General features: G+C 34.9%; 1 protein-coding gene and 1 pseudogene across 3 annotated transcripts in view; both read right to left on the reverse strand.

The window, feature by feature from the left end:
• OR4F16 (olfactory receptor family 4 subfamily F member 16) overlaps positions 1-16,677 on the reverse strand; it is a 44,026-nt gene extending 27,349 nt beyond the window's left edge. For 2 of the 3 annotated variants that reach the window (XM_017002410.2, XM_017002408.2), the window contains exon 1: positions 8,287-8,368. The gene's annotated coding sequence lies outside the window, so the exon portion shown is untranslated. Of the gene's footprint in view, positions 1-8,286; positions 8,369-16,607 lie in introns of those variants that run through there. The other variant, XM_024449992.2, reaches the window with a different exon arrangement.
• Positions 14,197-16,778, reverse strand: SEPTIN14P14 (septin 14 pseudogene 14; annotated as a pseudogene).

Consider the following 17,640-nt stretch of genomic DNA (forward strand, 5'->3'; position numbering starts at 1 on the left):
AGATTTTGTTGTTTAACACTTGTTTTCACTATAAGACTGTAATTACATGCAAGTAAGAACCATGCCTGTTTGTTCACTCCTGCCACAGTCAGAATAGTGCCTGGAATATGCAGTAAGGGCTGAACAAGCACTAAATAAATGAACAAGTGAATAAATGGATATTGTCTCATTTTTAGAACAGAGTACTGAATGGATCATGAACACTATCTGGTATGTCACGTAGGTAATTTACAAGGGCTACAATTTCAGCTCAGATTTACCTTTTCCTGGATACAGGTCTTGATAGGTCTCTTGATGTCATTTCACTTCAGATTCTTCTTTAGAAAACTTGGACAATAGCATTTGCTGTCTTGTCCAAATTGTTACTAAGAATCAAGAGAGATATCTGACATGAAATGACATTGGAAAACATTAAACACGATTGAAATAATGCTAGCCAATATGGTTATTATTAGAAACCAATTACATTTTCAACTTAAAAATAGTAATACTTATTGCAGACTCAAATGTGCTTATTCTAAAACAAGTAAATGTTTGCCTATGGTCTGAGATTCTAATCCACGGAGTTCATTCTAATCCACATTCAACACTATCATGTACCAGTGGGCCTCATAACCCACCTAGCCCTGTGATTTTTCAGGTTCACTTTTCTAAACTTGTGAATTAAATATTTATTTTCTTAGTTCAGAAGAGGAAAAAAACTCTTGTAATTGTTGCCCATTTCAGGAGAAATCTTGCATATGAAAACAAGAGATAAATATACACAACTGAGGGCTGTGGTTTAAACAAAATCTTGAGAATGTTTTTTGACCTTACACATTTGTGCTTTAGTATAACAAAATGATATAGACAAAGGTAACTTTTAATAGAACCAGTCACTAAATTAAAAAAATGACAAATTCTTCTGCTTAGCTAAGCAACAGAGAAGGTAAAATACTAATTCAATTCATCAATTTAAGCAATACTCATTAAGAGCCAAGTATGTGCTCACTGAATAAGCTGCTAAGGTTTGGTGGTTACAGAGTGTGCGGTGAAATGATGTCTACATCACAGTCCAACATTCACAGAGTTTAAAAGCCTACCAAGAATCAAGACAGACACAAATACCTAACATAGACATTTGTATATGATAAGAGAGCCAGAGTACAATTTAGGAGAAGAAATTGTATGGAAGGAAGGTTCATTTCCATTAGACCAGAAAAGACAGCACATTTGAAGGCCTGAATAAGAAATATTCTGGATAAGATATTGTGGCTGCTACCAGAATGGCTCTTGATGATCTCTACCTCTTGGTATTTATACCCTTATATAATCTCTTTCCTATAGTGTAAGCTGGTCCCAGGTACTTGTTTCTATTGAATAGAATAGAACAAAAGAAATGAGATGCCACTTCTGAGATTAGATTATAAGATACTGTGAATTTCTTCTTGTGCCCTCTCCCTCTCTCTCTTTCTCTTGCCCTCTCATTTGAATGAAGCCAACTGGCATGCTGTCAGTGGCCCAGTGTAAGTCCTGTTACAAGAAATTGATGATTACCTGTAGCCAACCCTAAGTGAAGAACTGAGGTCCTCAGTCCTACAAATGGAGAGAAACTGAATCTAGCTAAGAACCATGTGAGTGAGCTGGGAAGAAGATCCACCCTCAGTTGAAATTTAAGATGACATATTGAGCAGACATACTGAGACACACTGAAAGTAAGAGAGCAGGAGGAAACAAAACCAGGGTCATACAAAGAACACAACTGATTTTGAGATTCTCACATAAGTATTACACCTTCAGTGAGCACGTGTACTAGAAATTTAAAAAATAAATAAAATAAACCTTCAAAGTGAGCTAGCAAATAAATTTCCCTATGGTCTCAGCTCTGAGTGGAGAGAGAAAATGTTCCCTGTGGAGTTTATAGCCAGAATCCAGCTCTCAAACAGGTTTCAGCCTGAACTCACACAATCTGTGTGGCTTCCAAATTTGCAAGCTGAGAATTTAATTCAAAGTGGTCTCAGGTTGATAGCAGTCCAAAATGCTAGGTAGGAAAAAAAATCCTCTCTGGACAAATAAATCATCAAAGCAAGCTCATAAGAGCAGGTTTCAAAGGTCATGAGCTTCTAACACACACACAAAAATCACACACACAAAATGGGGGTAGCAGCAACATGGGTAGCGTATTCAAACTTGAAAAGACTTTAAATATTTGTATTATTAGATGTAGATTATGAAACACATATTTTAATGTGGTTAATTTTTTTAAGGAATCAAAACTATGAGTAAAGACCAAGAAAATTGTGCTGGATGGCCACTTCCACCATGGCTCCCCTCCTATTTAAGTCTGGGTACTGTGTCACCCGAAGTCTTCAGGCACATTGTTCCAGGTCTGGGTTTGCCTATGAAAGAAACTCATGAGAGCTGGAAATGAGGAGTGAAGAGGAGGTCTTCAAATAAAGCAGGCTTAAGGATTAGACATAGCAGGTTTGACAGATGTGATGGCTTGCAGAATCCTTTATGAGCTCCCACTGTCCATCTGGATAAGATTTACAGACCTTTCAGAAATTCCTATAAGCTTGGGTTCTGTGCCCACACTCTAGACTGTCAGGCTAAGATCTCTGATATAAAACAGACCTCTTCTGATTTTGTCTAGCTGCTTTTCTAATATCTATTCACCAAGCTCTTCCAATAATAGCATAAGGCCCTAATTAATATTAAACTTTTATCATTATAATACATAGGATGTCTTCTGTTTTCCTGATCAAATTCTGACTACTATTAAAATATAAAGAATTGTCCAGAAATATATAAAAAAAGAATCACACATTGATCTTCTTTAAATGAAAATATAACAATTGTATGGACTAGGATGATTACAGTTGTTCAGTTCTGACTGTTATTTGAAGAAAAAAGCAATAAGAAGCCTCAGCAACTTAACAGAAGGAGCTGCCATTTACTAGGAGAAAAGATTGTGGATGAGAGTGTAGCAAAGGTCAGAATTCTGTGAAGCTTGAGATGTTTATTATAATGAATTATCTTTTATACTCACTACAATTTCCTAACAATTTTGGGGTTTATATTTTTGAAAGAGATATACCTTTAATTTTCTTTCTTTGTACTATTGTTAGGTAACTTTGATGTGCAGATTATACTACAGTGAAAGTTGCCAATGACAAGGCAAAGTCACTTACATCAGACCCAAAGCAAAGTGGAGCCGGGTCATGAAAAAGGGGATCTTGTGTGTCTGTCCACGATAAGCACTATCACAAGGACTTTCTATAAACTCACAAGAAATTTCTGCCCACCCAGCACACTCTGTTTGTCCAGCTCATCCTGTAGGTGTCTCTATAATAGGACCTATCATAAAAAATTCCTCAAGACTGCAGCATTTCAGATAAGCCACCCTCACAAGAACACTTGCCTAGCAATGGCTGTTTCTGCCAGTAAGTTAACACCAGCTCCTGCATCAGACCCTGTGACCAATGATGTTTGTTTCAAAACAGCTTGCATGGACTTCTTTTTGTCTTTACATATTTTCCTTACCTCAACCTCTTGGGATGCACCTATGATTGATCATAGCACAAATATCTCAGATTATAATCCTTGTTTATTTCCAAATAAATTTATTTCTTTGGAGATCCACTTTTTCTGTTATTATACATTGACATTGTTATTATGAAATTGGTTGGGTGATGTGTCTTATTTTCTTGTCTCCAGAAGAATTTCTGTAACAGTGCAATTAAACGTTCTTTGCATGTTTGCTAGAACTCACCTGTAAAATTGTCTGAGCAACCAAAGCCTGGTTTTTGTGTTTAGTTTTTCTTTTGTGATTGGGGAGGGGGGTTTATCGTACTGATTCAAGGTGTGAAGGTAACATCATTTTGATTTTATACATCTTCTTCAGTCCATTTAAGCATGTTACATAGCGTTGTTTGTTCTTTTCATGATATTCTTTACAGTAGTCTCCTAAATGTTCCCTCTGCTTCTGCCATGAGCCCCTACAATCTATTTCAACTCAGAAGCTATAGAGTTTGTTTAAAACATGTAACATATTATGCCACCTTTCTTACTGTAAAACATCCCATGGTTTCTCGTAGTATTTATAGTAAAAGTGAAATTTTTATGATGGCTTGAGAAACTTTTCCCATTAGATGCCCAAGTGCTGGTCTGGTCTGATCTTCTCATCTTCCCTTGGGTGATTCTGTGGCAGTCACACTAGCCTCCTTGCTGCTCCACAAAAACTCCAGCATGATCCTACTTCAGGATATTTGCCATTGTTACTGCATCTGCCTGGAACCTTTTCTCCCATATAAACATAGAGATTGCTCTTGCCTGTCCTTCAAGTCTATTCTTAAATGTCCCATTCTCTGTGAAGCTTTCCTGCCCACCCTATTTAAATTACAGACTTCACTCCCAATTCCCCATCTACTTTAAGAGTCTTCATTTATCATTCCTTGACAAACTGTAAATATACATGTTCACTTTTTTATCGTCTGTCTCCAAATACTGGAATGTTAAGTTCTGTAATGTCAGATATTTCTGTTTGGTTCACTGGTGTATTCTTAAAGCATGTTACATACTAGGTATACTCAATGAATATTTGTTGAATAAATATCACATTGGGCTTATTCCAGAAATTCAAGCTTGTTTCAATAGTTAGAGCAATCTACAAATGTAATTCCTTACATTAACTAATTAAAGGAGCTAAATCACATCACCACCACAATAATGCAGAAAACCACATTTGATACAACTCAATATTCATGTCTGCCTAACAAACATCTCATGATACTAGGAAAAGAGGAAGGGATATATTATTTTCATGTATAAAGCACTAACCATTGTAGCATGCCAATATACTCAAAATTCAATGAAATTCCTATCAAAATCTTAGCATTCCTCTTAGCCCTCAACAAAGCATTTCTAAAATGTGTATAGAAGACCAAAGGGCCAAAAGAGTCAACTTCTGAAGAAGCGCAAAAAGAAAGTTGAGGAAATCTTAAAACATGTTATTGAGCTTAAAGTTGCAAAAATAAACTCATGTGCCATAATTCATGAGTAGAAAAATAGACTAGTGGAATAACATAAAAATAAAAACAATGCTTACATAAAATGTTGTAACTGATTTGGATGTCATTAGAAATCAGTAAGTAAATAGATGGACAATGTAATGAAAGATGCTAGGCAAATAATGTGGTAGGGAGAATAATGGCCCTCAAAGATGCCCATGCCTAACCCTGGAACCTGTGAATATGTTACACTGAATGCAATAAAGGCTTATCAGATGTGATTAAGGATGCAAACCGAGATGGAGAGATCTTCCTGGGTTACCCAGATGGGCCCAGTCTAATCACATGAGTTCTTAAAAATGGAGAACCTTTCTTAGCTGAGTCCAGAGAGAGATGTGACAATGAAAGAATGGTCAGAGAAATGTGACATTGCCAGCTTTAAAAAGAGAGAGGAGAGGCAATGAGAAAAGGAATGCTGATGTTCTCTAGAAGATAGAAAAGGCCAGGATATGGATTCTACCCTAGCCACCATAAAGAAACATGCCTGTCGACAACTTGATTTTAGTTCACTAAAATTCATGCCTGATTTCTGACTTGTGTACACTGTAAGATGACAAGTTTGTGTTATTTTAGGTCACTTAGTTTGCAGAAATTTGTTACAGCAGTAATAGAACAAGTGGTTATCCATATGAGGCAAATTAGATTGGATACCTATCTCCAATAGAAATCAATTCAAGGTGAATTCCAGGAAAATACTTAAAACATTTAGATTAAAAATAAATGAGAATTTTTGTTACTTTTGGTAGGTCATAGAACCAAGAAAAACAAACATTAAGGAGGAAAAATGAACATATGACTACATCAAAATATAAAGCTTCTCTATTTGGAAGATATCATAAGGTGACAAATCATAAACTGTAATATTTACAACATATATATAAGTGAATAAATATACATTTAGAATATATATGAACTCCCAAAAATCAACAGGAAAAATAAGACATAGAACAAGCAAAATGCATAAACAAAAGAAGGCAAAACAAAAATAATGACTCATAATTATATGAAAAGAAGCTCATCTTCATAGATGAGCAGATAAATGCAAATTAAAACCACCCTGAGATGCTTTTTACATCCATGAGCCTGATAAAAGTTAGAGTCTAAAAGTAATAATTAACAAAGATGGGAAGTAACAGAAAATCTTGTCCATTACTGGTTAAAGTATAAACTGATACAGCTACTTTATAGAATATTACATTATAGAATAAAGTTGTGAGTATGTATATGCAGTGACTCAGCATATTCATTGCTAGTATGTACTCAAGAGAAACTTACAGGAGTGGACTAGGAAGTAAATACAAAATGATTACAACATTGTTTGTTATATCAAAAAATAAAAAAGACACCCAATTTTCCAGCAAAAAAAATAAGTAAAAATAAATCCTGGTGTATTCTAACAATGGAATAATATATAGCCATTAAAATAAATCAACTATTACTGTACATATGAATGTAAGTATCAGCAAAACATATTGTTTAGTGAAAAACTAAGAAGCTGAAGAAGAATATATACAATATGGTTACATTTATATGAAGTCCCAAAACTTGCAAAATAAAGAAATGTATTTAGAAATAGATTCACATGTGAGAAAACTAGAAGAAAATTAATGAAAGGATAAGAGGGATAGCAGTAATTCTGAGTAGTTGAGGGAATTTCAATTGGAAAAAAATAATATCATATTCTTTAAGTCAGGTAGTGGGTATTAGCATTTGTTTTACCATCGTTCTTTATTCTTATAGCTACACTATATATTTTCAATGTATTTAATATATTTTTTGCATAATTAAATATTATGCAATAAAAATGAGAAAACAAAAAAGTAGAAAATGATAAATTACAATAAAGAAATGGAGAAAAAATTATAATCTAGTTGAGTAATGGTATATTACATAGCTATTTTCTTAAGTAGATGTATGTACATGATGTATGCACGATTGTACATACATGTTCTTAATTATATATAAATATATATGTACATATTTTTAATATAAAATACTAAACAAAGTACACCAAAATATTAGCTCCTATGTTAGTGAGATAATGTTTTGTTTTTTTGTATTTTAAGTTTTACATAGTAGGTGTATTTTTCTGTTTTCATACTGCTATAAAGAACTGCCCAAGACTGGGTAATTTATAAAGGAAAGAAGTTTAATTGGCTCACAGTTCAGCACAGCTTGGGAGGCCTCAGGAAATCTACAATCATGGCGGAAGACAAAGAGGAAGCAAGCCAGCTTCTTCGCAAGGCAGCATGAAGAAGTGCCGAGCAAAGGGGAAAGAATCCCTTATAAAACCATCAAATCTCGTGAGAACTCACTATCACAAGAACAGCACAGGGGAAACTGCCCCCATGATTCAATTACCTCCACCTGGTCTCTCCCTTGACCTGTGGGGATTATGGGGGCTATGGGGATTACAATTCAAGACGAGATTCAGGTGGGGATACAAAGCCTAACCATATCAGTAGGCATGTATTGAATTTTAAACTCAGAGAAAAATACTAGTGTTTTTATAGGATTCTTACTAAAGAAAAACCAGAAAGTAATAAACCATCTACGCTAAGACATAAAATTCAGTTGTTTAGTTACAAGATAGAATGTGGCCTTGTAAGAAAGCAAATTAACTTCTAACATACAAAGCCTTAGAGAAGATTCAAGTGACTGACGGATCTTAAACAGAGCTATTATTACAACTTGAACTGCAGTAAAATATCCTCAGCAACATAGATGTGTATGTTTCACTAGTCAGAGCAATACAAATTTAACGAAACTCCATTGGTGGTGTTTTTAATCAGACAATTTCTGAAGATGTCCTGGCTTATTCACAGATGCAAGCCAAATCTCTAGAAGAGTACCATAATAAGAAAAAAAAGAATACAGGCAATTGAGAGCTGTTCCAAAGTTTAGGGAGTTTTTGTAAGGAATTAATAAATAAAAATGTTCTTGAAAGAGAGAAATTAATATGCAGTTCATACTGCCAGAATTGCAGGCAATTTATCAAAGTCCCCTAATCCTCCAAAATCGCTATTTTTTTTTTTGACACACACTTTACAGTACAGAAGAAAATGTCTCCGGCAATAAATCACAAAGTTAAAATTACCTAGTCTACAATTAACTACACAGTGATGGTAAATCATTTTCTACCAAAAGAAAGAAATGTCTTGTCTATTCAGGTTCTGCTCTACTTAAAAGTTTTCCTTGTTGGCGAGCAAGTGGTTAGAAAATCATATTTTATACGTACATTCAGCTTAACTATCATTCAGCTCAGGAAGATGACTCAGGGCCTTATCCATACCTTCAAGTTTGCTCTTAGCAAGTAATTGTTTCAGTATCTATATCAAAAATGGCTTAAGCCTGCAACATGTTTCTGAATGATTAACAAGGTGATAGTCAGTTCTTCATTGAATCCTGGATGCTTTATTTTTCTTAATAAGAGGAATTCATATGGATCAGCTAGAAAAAAATTAAGAGGAAAATCACATGGAAAGTTATATATTATATATCTATTATATATAATATTATATATCTATTATATATTATATATTGTATATCTATTACATATATATTATATATGTATTATATATATTATATATCTATTATATATATAATATTATATATTATATATCATTTCCAAATTCCCCAGCGTTCATATTTGTCAGTGCAAGTAAAGAGCCTTACTGCTGATGAGGTTTGAGGTATGACCATTTGGCCAGAATTTATGAACTCTACATGTCGCTTGATGTGTGCCTCAGGGTATACTTTTTTTTTTTTTTTGAGACGGAGTCTTGCTCTGTCGCCCAGGCTGGAGTGCAGCGGTGCGATCTCAGCTCACCGCAAGCTCCGTCTCCCGGGTTCATGCCATTCTCCTGCCTGAGCCTCCTGAGTAGCTGGGACTACAGGCGCCCGCCACTATGCCCTGCTAATTTTTTGTATTTTTAGTACAGACGGGGTTTCACCGTGTTAGCCAGGATGGTCTCGATCTCCTGACCTCGTGATCCACCCGCCTCGGCCTCCCAAAGTGCTGGAATTACAGGTGTGAGCCACCACGCCCGGCCAGGGTACACTTTTAAGCAGAGACACTACTTTGAAGGTCATAAAAAATATAATAAGAGATAAGGCTAATTTCCTTTAATAATAATAAAATCCTTTAATAAAAATATAAAGGAATAATATAATAATTTTATTTAATAAAATATAATAAGAGATAAGGCTAATTTCCTTTAATAAAATATAGTAACTACATACCAACAGAATTCCAAAAAAAGAAATGGAGAGGAAGGGAGCATGGGTCATTAATCTTGTCAAAAATATAAAATTATATACGAGGAATTCCTAGAAACTGTTTTCCTTGTCTGCGGCCATTGTGCTGCTGCTACACAACTACCGCAAGCAGCCCTTCACGCCCTCCTCCCAGTACAAAGCTAATTGACTTGTGAGAAATGTTAAGCTTGGAAGAGTCAGCATCGCTGCACTTATTTTTTATTCTACTCTGACATTAGAATAATCCTTGAGTGGGGGAAAGGTTAAAAACCCCCCTGGATAAGTGTTACTAATTAATGATGATTGTTTTAAACAATGTTTGGATAATTTTTCCTTGTCCCTTGACATAAACTTGATAAATAACTGAGAAGTGAGAAGGAGATTAGTGGGTTGATTAAATTCCATTCAGGTACTTAAAGTTAGCTCCAAAAATTTAGCTATTTGTAAATTGTCATGCATTGTTAATGTATAAGAGATGTAGATTTCATTTATCTTTGGTGGAGCGAGATGAAGCAGTGAATCATTGAAGACTGAAAGAAAGAAAAAGGTCTTTTCCCTTTTCTTTAAGAAGCATCATTAGTTAAAAACATGTTAGTTGATACCAGAGAACTATATTTAAAGGGACAGCAATAAGCAAATTGATTACTCTGGTGATTATTGGAGTGACATTGCCTTTTAGTTGTACTTTCACAAAAATTCACAATATTTGCCAAAGTCAAGTTATCCATTACACTATTAATTTGTCATTCTTTTGTTTATATAGTCAATCTCTATCTCAATTGGATCTATCTCAACTGCTTCTAAACAAGCCACCATAGTCTCTCCCATTTCAACAATCTCTTCCAAGTACCACTTCATTTCTTCTTTTCATATTTTTGAAAACTTTTGAAAAACTACCTATTTTCCTCCTCCATTTCTTGTTCATTCCATTCTAGTGGACATGGAATCTGTTCCTCCTCCAAAACGGAATTTGGTAACCCTTAAATTACTAAACCCAAAACAACATGTTGTCTTTATCTTTACCTCTCTGTGGCATTTAATGATAAGACCACTACTTTCTTCTCTTTTACCCTTCTTTCTTGAATTCAGTCAAACAACGTACTTACATTTTTCGTCTTATTCTCCATCTTAGAAACCACCTCAGCTTTCTCCATTCAGCTATAAAATTGTGCTTTTCCTCAAAGATTAATCTGCCTCTCCTCTCACTCTATACTATCTCTGTTAGCTAATTTTATTTGTGCACATTGCTTATACTGGGCATTATATACACATATGCATGTGTGTACATGTGCATACACACACTGTATGTGGACATGTATATATATATATGTGTGTGTGTATATATATAGTATATATATAAATTACAATAACATAAAGGTGGCATTTTAAATTAGTGGAAATTACCCTGATTTGATCACTACACATTCTATACATGTAAAGAAAATATCACTCTGTATCCCAAGAATATGTACAATTATGGTTTGTCAAATGAAAAAGTTCATACATTGAAAAATTTTAGATAAATATCAAACTTTCTCTGAAACTGTAACTGTAAAATGTAAAAAACAGTAATTGCTATATTGCTTATTTCTGAGTAGAAGAATATGAGACATTTCCCTAATCATTATGTGTAATTACAATTACATAGAAGAATATGAGACATTTCCCTAATCATTATGTGTAATTACAATTACATATATATATGTAATTGTAATTACACATAATGATTAGGGAAATGTCTCATATTCTATATATATAGACAGAAAGAGAGAAAATATATGAGGGAGAGAAGGAATCTTTCCATCTCCTTTGAGTTCCACGGTGTTGAGAGTCAGGACAACTGCAATTGCTTCATCATGCCTGCTTGCAATTATAGGGCTTTTGAACCATTTGTTCCCTCCTTAGATATCCTCATTTTTTTCAGATTCTTGCTTAGAAGTCACTCCTCCGTGGACCTCCTCTGACATATTAAACATTGCAGTCCATTATAAGCTGCAAGAGGACAGGGATTTTTGCCTGTTTTATTCCCTACTGTATCACCAGGGGCTACAGCAATATCTGACAAACAGTGGGCATGTAATGAATATATGTTAAGTGAAGTAATAAATTCAATCAAATCACATCACCTGTTTAAAGCACTTCATTGGCTTCACATTGCACTTAGAATAAAGAGAAATTCTTTTTATACAATATAAGTTCCTGCAGAATGCAGACACTTTCTACTTCTCCAGCCTCTTTTCGACTCCTCTCCTACTAGCTTCTGTATTTAAGCCACATTAGACCTTTCTTCAGTTTTTTATATAGACTTTGTCGCATCACACCTCAGAGATTCTGTACATGTTCTTCCTCCTGCCTAGAAAGGATCGTCCCTCCACTTTCGCCAACTAATCCCTGCTCAACTTTTCATCTCAGCAGGAGGCCCATTCTCTTTGGCAATCCTCTGGCCTCCAGCCCATTTATTATATGCTCACATGTCAACATGTACTTCGTACAGCATGTAACACAATTGCACTTTTATATTTTAACAAATTATATTTCCCATATTGAACTGTAAGTCTCCTGAAAGCAGGAATTTTGTTCTTGCTCATCATCAACTTTTTCAACATCCAGTGCACCATTTAGAACTTAGATGTAGTCAATACAGGTTTGTGGAATGAAAGAGGAAAAGAAAGAATTAATATTCCTTTAAATTAGGATGGCAAAGATCGTATATAGAAAATTGGCTAAGTTGTGGTCCATTCATGTTTGCTCCCAATTAAGGAGCACAGCTATGAAAAGGAAGGCTTCAAATTAATAACCAATAGATTTTTTTAAAAAGAAAACTGGCCAGGTACTGTGGCTTATGTCTGTAATATCAGCATGTTGGGAGGCCAAGGCAGGATTACTTGAGCCCAGAAATTCCAGACCAGCCTGAGAATTTGGCAAAACTCTGTCTCTACAAAAAATACAAAAATTAGCCAAGTTTGGTGGCATGTGCCTGTAGTACCAGCTACTTGGGAGGCTGAGGTGGAAGAATAGCTTGAGTCTGGGAGGTCAAGGCTGCAATGAGCTGTGATTGCACCACTGCACTCAAGCCTGGGTGGTAGAGTAAGACCCTGTCTCAAAAAAAAAAAGAAAAATCACTAAGCAAAATAAGACATGTGAAGGATCATGTCAAAGGTAAGAAAAATTAGGGGAACATTAAAAGCTTTCTTCCCAAGCCACTAAATCAACTTGACTAACAAAATTACCACTTGATTTAGCATTAGAAAATTACATTACATATCAAACATAAACCCATTAATCAAATACTAAAGAAATTTCTGAGTTAAATGGTATAATGTTAGCTTATGCCAGAGCTGACCTTGAAAGATTGTTCAAATATGGCTCAGTGTGATTGAAAGTTCTGTGTGAATATGTTTTTGGAAAGATCCAACAGCAACACCTTAGTGTATGTTTTTGAAATAAAATGTATCTGAGTAGCAGCAAAGTTATTCTCAAATTTCCATTTTATAGCTGGAGATGTCATACCGTGACGTATATGATAGGACCCAATATGGATCAATCCCTTTTAGAAGTCAATCAGGAAGAGGGGAGCAGTTAAAACAGTTGCTTGGTTTACAAACATTAGAACAATTTTCTTATTCACACCATCTGATTATTGTATTTTATTTTTTCCCCAACGTTTAGACTACACAATGAGTTAAGAATGATAAAAATAAGCTCACCAATATACTATGTACATATTTACCAAAATCTGTGCATGCTTATACATATAAACACAGCTGATAATTTATTAGTTAGGCTCATTTGTAATTTTTGTCACTATAGACCAGTTTTTTATTTAAATTGAAGATTAGTATACATTTTAAATGATTAGTCAAAATAAAAAATCTAAAATGTGCTCTAAATACCTCTTAGGTCAGAAAAAAAAAGTCAAAAGCTAGAGTATAGAGAAATTAAGAAACGCCCTAAATTTCTAATCTGACAAAAATTCATACAAGATTTAAATATTTTAATGGAAAATAGAACAGAACTAATTATTGAAGAAATTATAGAAAGGAAACAAAATAAACAGATTATATGGAGGATTTTTAGAAGATAAGTAAATAAATTAATATACTAGGAAAAAACAAGGGAAATATACTTGATAAATAAATACAGGTAAGAGTTCTTTTGAAATAATGATAAAATAGAAAATCTCTGTCAAAACTAAAAGGAAAGATGCATAAATATATAAATAAATGATAAAAAATGTTGCATACATATATGACTTTTTCAGAATCAAAAAATTTAAATTTCTGTAATAAAATTTAAATGTTTATAAATTTAAAAAACTAGAAGAAAGAATGTTGACTGTTCACAATACAAATAAATGACAAATATTTGAGGTGATGGATATGCTAATTATCCTTATTTGATCATTGGGCATTGTATACATGTATCAAAATATCACTCTGTATCCCATGAATATGTACAATTATTTGTCTCAAAAACAAACAAAAAAAAAGATAATGGGAGAATGTTGAAAACTCAGAGAGAAGAGCAACTCTCACAGATAGGGATCCAGATAACATTAGCAGCTGATTTCTCGGCAGAAACCTTGAAGGCCAGCAGGCAGTGGATTATATATTTAAAATAATGAAGAAACCTGTCAATTGAGAAATATATAGCTGGAAAACTTATCCTTCAAAAATGAAGGAGAAATTAAGACATTTCCGGATTTTTTTTTAAAACTGAAAAAAATCCATTTATCCCTGAATTTGACATTCAGGAAGTGTTAAGTCCTTCAGGTTGAAATAAATGAACTCTAGGCAATAACTATGTAAGTAAATAAGCAAGCTGTATGAATATACAAAGCTCTCTGGTAAAGGTAAATACATAAACAAACATAAAAACAGTCCTATTGTAATTTTGGTTTGTAACTCTGCTTTTTATTTTCTACATAATTTAAAAGGCAAATGCATAAAATGTAATTGTAAATCTGTTAGCTGGTATACAATGAATAAAGATATAATTTGTCACATCAATAACATAAAAAGAGTAGAGCTATATATATAGCAGTAGAATTTTGGTATGTGATTGAACTTAAGTTGAAATAAATTCAAATTAAAATGTTATAACTCTAGGATGTTATATGTAATTCTCATAGTAACCAAAAATGAAATATATATAGAATATAAACAAAAGGAAATGAGACTAGAAACAAAATGTGTCACTACAAAAAAATCAACTAAAGATAAAAAAGAAATAATTGAGAAAATGATTGGCAAAAATCAGTAACTCTGACGTATTAAAACTTTCCATGCTACATAAATCTGAAAACTCTATTTCACATAAAACTGGAGCTGAAAGAAACAAATATTTACCTATAAAGTTAAAAGTTATATAGGGAACAAACACTAATTTTTTTTAGAAAAAATTATAAAAAGTAAAAATATGCCTTATACTACCGTAATTTCATGTTTTACAGCTCTGGGAAAATAGAAAATAAAATGTTCTGTTAGCATGAATCCCTCTGTGCCCCCAAAAAACCCTATGGATTGCATCATTATTACCTAAAAAGTCTATTCTCAAATGCAGCAGAGTGATATTTTTTACAAGGTAGATATTAATTTTAGATATGGAATAATATTGATGATTTCAATTTTATAACACTGGGTTAAGATGAAAGAATGAGAAGATAAAGGTCCCTCAGCAATATAACTCACAAACATGTTCAGAAGCAGTAAGAAGTTACATTAATTATCTTTTGAAAGTCGATAATCTACATCTTTAATGTATGCATATAGCATAGCTAATGTACTATCGCTGGGTCCATTTATTCAATGAATAATTGCCGCTATGTGTCAGACATTTTTCTAGGCCTAGGAATGGATACATAAGTGAACAAAGCAAAGATTCTGGTTCTTGTAGAGTTTCCATTAAAAGACAATTTAGTAAAACTTTTCTTCCCCCAAATTATAAAATCTGTAAGATGATTTAACAACATGTGTAAAAGTCATTGTGGGCCAGGCACGGTGGCTCATACCAGGTGTGGTGACTCATAGCACTCTGTCACCCAGGCTGGAGTGCAGTGGCACAATCTCTGCTCACTGCAACCTCTGCCTCCTGGGTACAAGCGATTCTCCTGCCTCAGCTTTCTGAGTAGCAAGGACTACAGGTGCACACCATCACGCCTGGCTAATTTTTGTACTATTAGTACAGACGGAGTTTCACCATGTTGGCCAGGCTGGTCTCAAACTCCTGACCTCAAATGATCCGCCCACCTCGGCCTCCCAAAGTGCTGGAATTACAGATGTGAGCCACAATGCCCGGCCTTATTTTCTACAACTTTGGTAACTTTAGCATATACCCCAAATCTGTAAGACATAATATTATAATTCAAATGCAACTCATGGCTTCTCTTTGTACTCTTTCTCTAGCTTTTGAATTATTTATTCTAATACCAGTTTTAATTCTGACACAAAATCATGGGAGTTCTAATCAAAATCCAACCTTTTATCATAAAAACTATGAAGAAATTATGAGTAGAATTTAAAAAGGAAAATAGGCCTATTAATTAGATTTGTCTTTGTAGCATTTAACTCTATAATAAATAATATTTTATGCCTATGAGTCCCCAACAAAGCCTCCAGCTTCTATTTAGATACAAACTGTAAAAGTCACTACTGGATCCACAAGCAAGACTATGGTAAATAAATTTCTCCACCTAACCAGCTTCTTTTACATGATGTTACATGTTTCTTTTGTTTTTTCATTTTGGCAAATATTGATTGTCATCTTCGTGTTTGTCTATGTCCTAAGTGCTGGGATACAGAATCTGAAAAGATGGACACAGGACCTGCCTTCAAGTTCACCCCCTTTTTTTTTTTTTTTTGAGATGCAGTTTTGCTCTTGTCACCCAGGCTGGAGTGTAATGGTGAGATCTCTGCTCACTGCAACCTCCACCTCCAGGGTTCAAGTGATTCTCCTGCCTCAGCCTCCCAAGTAGCTGGGATTACAGGTCCCAGCCACCACGCCTAGCTAATTTTTGTATTTTTAGTAGAGACAGCGTTTCATCATGTTGGTCAGGCTGGTCTCGAACTCCTAACCTCAGGTAGTCGACCCACCTCGGCCTCCCACAGTGCTGAGATTACAGGCATGAGCCACCACGCCCTGCTAGGAGTTCACGCTTTAGTTGGGGAAAATATACAATAAGCAAGCCAGTTTTTAAAATGAGAACTGCAATTAGAGTTAAATGCTACAAAGACAAACTCACAGGAAGATGGGATGTAGAATGATAAGGCTCTCAGAATAGTAAGAGAAACTATTGCTTCTTACGATGTTTGTCTTTCTTTGTATCGGTGCTCAGCTGAGTCTGCAGTGCTTCAGAGGCAGCTTTCATTTTATAAAAATCTATGATTTCTCCTTCCAGTTGTTTTTTCTCTTCCTCGAGCTTCCTTATCTCCTCCTGTTGAATCATTTTAAGATGCTCGAACTTGTCCTGCAGCTGTGAAACCAATGTGCAGTTGTGACACCAAAGCAGTGTGGCTGAACACCTAAAAGAATACGCTTTTTTTCTGATTATCAAACAAACCCAAATCATCACAGTAGAGCACGATCTTAATAACAATCTCAAAAACTCAGGAGTAAACACTCAGATATGGAATTTTTCTTTTCTTTCTTTTTTCCTTTTATAAGATGGAGTCTCACTCTGTTGCCCAGGCTGGAGTGCACTGGTGCGATCTCAGCTCACTGCAACCTCCATCTCCCAGTTCAAGTGATTCTCCTGCCTCAGCCTCTTGAGTAGCTGGGACTATAGGCATGCACCACCACTACAGGCGTGTGCCACCACACCTGGCTAATTTTTGTATTTTTAGTAGAGATGGGGTTTTGCCATGATGGCCAGGCTGGTCTCGAACTCCTGACCTCAGGTGATCCTCCCGCTTTGGCCTCCCAAAGACTTTTTTTTTTTTTTTTAATATAGAGACAAGTTCTCAGTACGTTGCCCAGGCTGGTCTCAAACTCCTGAGCTCAAGTGATCCTCCCACCTCAGCTTCCCAAAGTGCTGGGACTGACTGGATGCAGTGGCTCATGCTTGTAAACTCAGCACTTTGGGAGGCCAAGGTGGGAGGATCGCTTGAGCCCAGGAGTTCAAGACCAGACTGGGTGATATAACACAATAGTCAACTTCAACAGGAGAGAGAATCTGTAAACTTGAATATAGATCTTCCGAAATTATCCAGTCAGAGGACAGAGAAAAAAAGAATAAAAGAGAGAAAAGAAGGCTGGGTGTGGTGGCTCAAGCCTGTAATCCCAACACTTTGGGAGGCCGAGGCAGGCAGATTAAGAGGTCAGGAGTTCAAGACCAGCC

Source organism: Homo sapiens, chromosome 1 (assembly GCF_000001405.40).
Source record: "Homo sapiens chromosome 1, GRCh38.p14 Primary Assembly".
Lineage (NCBI taxonomy): Eukaryota > Metazoa > Chordata > Mammalia > Primates > Hominidae > Homo > Homo sapiens.